Here is a 5,498-nt window from a genome sequence, read left to right on the forward strand (position 1 = left end):
CCAAATAAGGTGTGAAAGCAGGTCCCATTAGGTGCCCATTTCCTGCTTCCACTGCTTCCACGTAAAACCACCCTTGTTTAGGGGTGATAGGGAAGGTGGGTGGAGAAGAGAATTATTGTACATATACTTTGGTCATCCAGGGTCACTTTCCTCCCCTCCAACTGAAGCTGCAGCAGCAGGGAGCTCAGGAACTTCATTCTACCCAATTCTGTGCATGTGCAGGAGGAATAGTCACTGTCTTCAGTGTCTTCAGCCCCATCCCTGAGCCACAAAGGATGAGACTGGTACAATTTGTCAGTTTCGGACAGTAGCAGAAAAGCCACCCAGGGTGTGGGCTATGTCATTGGCAGGGGCAGAATGGGCCTTGATAAAAAGCACTTGTGGATTCTGGTGTGTTCAAATCTCAGCTCCATCACGTCCCAGCAATAAGACCTTGGGCCAATCAGCAAACCACATTTGGCCTATCCTAGAATGGATATAATCCTTGTGTGTAGCTACCTCAAAGCACTATTATAAGGAATAAATGAGATAAGTTTAAAATGCTACAGCAGTAACAACTCAGTTCATTGTAACTATTGTCACTATTAAGAAAAAGTACGGGGCTCTCTGCTGAGACAGCAGTGGTCTCTGTGCTCACCCTCATGCATATGTCCTAGTGTGTTCCTTAAATCACACAAGCCTACTCTTCTGATTGTCTGAAACTTCAGGATGACAATTTCACTTTATGAGCACAGAACATATTTACACAATGCTGCTTCACTCATCAATTAATTAGGTTCTTGTCCCAACAAGATTGCAAGGTCCTCCTCAGAGAAGGTCATGAGTCTTGCCTCTGCTGGACCAGTCCCTCCCTGCACAGCACATAACTGAACTTATAGCACTTTCCACACTGTATTCTAATGGTCTGTTTTCATGTCTGTTTTCCCACTGACTTGCCATCTCTTTAAGAATAAAGATTGGGTCTTACAGACTAGTTTTGTCTCTAATAACTAGCATGATGTCCATAGCATATTCAATAAATATTAAATAAATGTTTTTGAGGTAAGAATGTAAATAAATAAAGAGTAGATGCTATTATTGCATAAGATACATGTCTTAGGATGTGTTTATAGATGACCCGTGTGCATCCTGATGCTTTGGACAGGGGTAGCCTGAGAATGCACAAGGAAATCAACCCCAAAAAAAATACTAGAGTTGAAGTCTCCCTCCTTCTCTCTCTCTCTCTCTAACTTATTCTCCCCTCACATCTCCCCTGTTATTTATCTCTTTCTTTGTGTGTGTGTGTGTGTGTGTGTGTGTGTGTGTGTGTGTGTGTGTGTGTGTATGAGACCTTTCCAGAGGGTTGAGAGGTTTCTGTAGAAGGTGCAGGTGACTCGGTAGGATAAGGTACAGGTGACTGATTTTGGCGAGCCATATCTATCTCACATTAATTATTACAAATGCCTAAGGGTGCTTCTCTAAACATGGACTGTGCAACTGGATAGAAATCACCAGACCCTGTACTTTGGCTGGGCTGGAGAATAAGGAGAGTCCCTGTCCAAGGCCATTTTGATACCAAGATCTATTCTAGGCCAGGCAAAGTAGGACAGCATACTTACCCTTGGAGAAAGAGTAACATTTTTGGTAATTATGTAAAAGGACTTGATTCCTTGGTGGGCAGCCTAATAATCTGATATGCACTGGTTTCCTTCCCAAAGCAAATGGAACAACTTCAGTCCTTTCTTCCAACCATATTATAAACATGTGCACATCACACATCTAAAAACCTAGTCAGCTCTTCCTGCAAAATGTTTTTTTCTCCACTGTTTTACTGAGCTTTTCTTCAAAGTTTTCTTGAGCTTTCAGAGGGATGAGCAAAGGAGATACTATAAATGAAAGCACTATCCAGGTTATAGTTACATTTTCCTGTTGCCAGAGAGACTGGCACAGGTAACACATAAATCAGAATAAGCAAATAAGTCTATGTCTTTTCATGCCTACCATTGGCCAGCAAGGCTCAAGCTATGCAAGGAATGTTTAGAATAAGCTGTTCCAGGCTTACAGATGCCCAGGGCACCTTCGCCCGTTAACCCTTCTGCTGCCTCTCCCCAGCACAAGGAGGACCTCCTCTTGGCCCAAGACCTGGTAACATTTCTGGGTCTTCCTTGCTTATTACAGCTATACCTTTGAGCCAGTTTCTTGGGAATACCTTCCTTTTTCTGCCTTCACCTTATCGACAAATAATATATTTTAAGGGTGTATATATTTTACACATTTTAATAAATCTGTCTAGCAGGAAGACAAGAACTCACATTCACTTGGGAGTATCAAATGTTTACTTTTTTTTTTTTTTTGAGATGGAGTCTCATTCTGCCATCCAGGCTGGAGTGCAGTGTCCCAATCTAGGTTCACTGCAGCCTCCACCTCCTGGATTCAAGCATCCTGCCTCAGCATTCTGCCTCAGCATCCTGAGTAGCTGGGATTACAGAGGCACGTGCTACCATGCCTGGCTAATTTTTTAATTATTATTATTTCTTTTAGTAGAGATGGGGTTTCACCATGTTGGTGAGGCTGGAAATGTTTACTTTTAACATTATCTTTGAATGACTATTTACTATCCTTTGTCCATATAGTGCCACAGGGATACATAGATAGGTTTCAAAAAAAATTATACAAATTGAAACTGGATTCCTATTACTGGGCCACACTGACATTATCGTACCAAGTATTAATATATATCTTGTTAATCCTATAATTATAGTTTGAATAATTCAATTATATTGCATTTTTTCTTAAAAGTGTTAATTTGTTAAATGTAAACATTTTAAAAACCTGCTACAATTCTTTGTAATTTTGTCTGACATCTCTTCATTACATATGAAAACTCAAAGGAATTTTTTTTTTTAATGAAAAAAGGAAAAAATATGGCCTTGTCTTTCCTCATGCTGAGAGGTACTGCCAGTAGGACCCTCAGGCTGTGACCTGAATTTTGAGGGGTCCTGTGCTTTGAGAAAGAAGCAGGCACCAACTTGGGCTCAGAGGTCTCCTTGCCATAACTAAGAGCCCTCCTGGGTGGCTTGAGACTGGGTGCTGTTTCTCCTTTCTACTCTGTCCTCTCAGGACTCACAGAAAGCAGACAGCCAAACATTTTAAATAAGTAACTTGAAGAATTATATGATGTTGAGCCATTCAGTTTTTTTAAAGATAATTCTGTGGATTCTAAAAGCAAATGGTGGACTATAATACAGGGAACGAGGTACTAAATTTCTATTAATTCATAAAAACTAAAATAGAATCCATTAAGCATGGTGGGGTATTGGTGTGAAAGGAGATGTAAATTATCCATGATCATGCTTGAAATGCAAAACCTGATCATGTTTGGCATCAGGCCAGCTCCCATTAAAGTAATTATTTTTAATCATCAGCACTTGGTGACATGAATACTCATATTTGTTGATTTACTGAGAAAAGCACTTTATATTGTAAATAAAAAGGATGGAAAATATACATTTGGATTTTAGAACAAATGATAATGATTATTCTCGCTTTCTGAGGGTCTTTCCTTGGATAAAGCCAGAAAAAAGTCTGTTTCCATGTGGCTCATATGTGGCCCCCATATAAATGTCAATGGCGGCATGTGTGAGCTTATTTTTATGTCCCATTTTCAAATGGGATAGTTGGTTCTATTCTTAAATGAAGATCGGGGAATAGGGGATTTCTGATGATTTCTTTCATGGCAACCAAAGGAGACATAGAAAATGGCTATTAAAATGTATCCTAACAACTGCCATAAGCACCCTTGGAAACCTTAGAACAAATAATTGCTTTCATTCTACCTCAGTTTGCCAGCTTCTGCTGGGATTTGGGAGGTGAATCACATTTACCAGGGAAACAGGGGCCAGAGGGATATTCCAAGTAAGGCAAAAACACATGCAAAAGAGTCTAGGAAATAGCCTGGTGTGTGTCAGAAAAGAGAGACATGCTATAGAAGGAGGAGGATTGACCCCTCAGTCCGTGGCTTCCAAACATAAGTGCACTTAGAAAAAAATCTTTCAAACCTGCTTAACATTGCCGCTTTCTATGTCTTACCTACTCCCGTTCTCCTGCAAAATTCACATTCTGTTGTCCCAGAGCAGAGCTCAGGATGTGCACTTTGGTAAGCACAGCCTTACACCAAGTCACTGACCCCTCACTGATATGGAAGCAGGTGGTCTCCCTTTGGGCCATGCTGTAGTAAGTGACTGGGGGGCCCATGAAGAGTTTTGCACAGAGCAGCTATCCCTTCCTTGGCAATTTGGAAAATTGACTACAAGGAGCAAGACTGAAGGCAGGAAGACTGGTTACTGTAATAACTGAATTATTGCAGTAGTGCTGGGGATGGAAAGGAAGCAATAAGTTTGAGAGACATTTGGTAGGGAAATGTGAGAAGATATGAAGGCTGATGACACGTGGGGTCCAGGAAGAAAAAGTCAAAGATGACCCTAGTACATCTGGCCCAGAGGACTGGGGAGGTGAGAGGATGCTATCAACCAGGGCAGGAGGAAGAGGAGTGCGTTCTTTCTTCTTTTGTCTTCTGGGGGATGGGACTGGGAAGGAATCTGGGGGGTATGAATGTACTTGTTGGACAAATTTTCACAGATTCATCTGTGAGTCAAATTGGTGGAAGGCATGAAGTAAGTCTGAAGTTCCCGAAGATGGTGCGAGCTTCAGAAACAAATCTGAGAGTCATCAGTTTATAATCAATGGGTGAAAAAGAGGTTACCTGGGGAAATTTGTAGGGAAGACCAGAAGGAACACTGGCTTTCATATAATAAGAAAAGATTACAAGAAACCCACCATCTCCTCTTGCCTCAGGAAAACCACACTCTTCAGGATTTCTTTTCCTATCAACTTCCCATTTGTGAGCCTCCAAACCAATCCTAAAGTTAGCAATTTTCATTGCCAAGGAAAATAAAATGTGTTCCTTTTGATAGAAACGTAATTTAATAAAAACAGTGCCATTAATTTTACAACCTAGAAAGTCCCCTCAAAATTTCTATGTAAATCTGTTGAAAATTTTCTTGTACTTTATTCACTTTTTCTCAGATATCCATATATAAGATAAATGATTCTTTGGATTTTTGTTTGGTTTGATGTGTATTTTTTTCTGTAACCTTTCTGGACTTTGTTTTTTTCTCTTGCATTGTTATTTTGTCTCAATAATTTCTAAAACTTCCTGCTTTATTTTTTTTGACCATGACAATGATGTTATTACAGACTTTTGTTCCTTTTAGTTAGTCACTATAGGCTAGCTTGGAAATGTATCATATGTAGTAAATTCTGTAAGAAACCTGTTCCAAAAATGTGCTTTTGGAACACATATAAACTGTATTTGGTGGCTGCTGGTATCTGGAACTACCAACAAAGACTATTTCTAAATAACATAATGTTATTGTCCACAACCACAATCTAATAGGGTTTACTACACGTGGTTTTTTTTAAAAAACGAAATATTAGTTTTGAAGAAAAGCAGCTTAATT

This window comes from Homo sapiens, chromosome 2 (genome assembly GCF_000001405.40).
Source record: "Homo sapiens chromosome 2, GRCh38.p14 Primary Assembly".
NCBI lineage: Eukaryota > Metazoa > Chordata > Mammalia > Primates > Hominidae > Homo > Homo sapiens.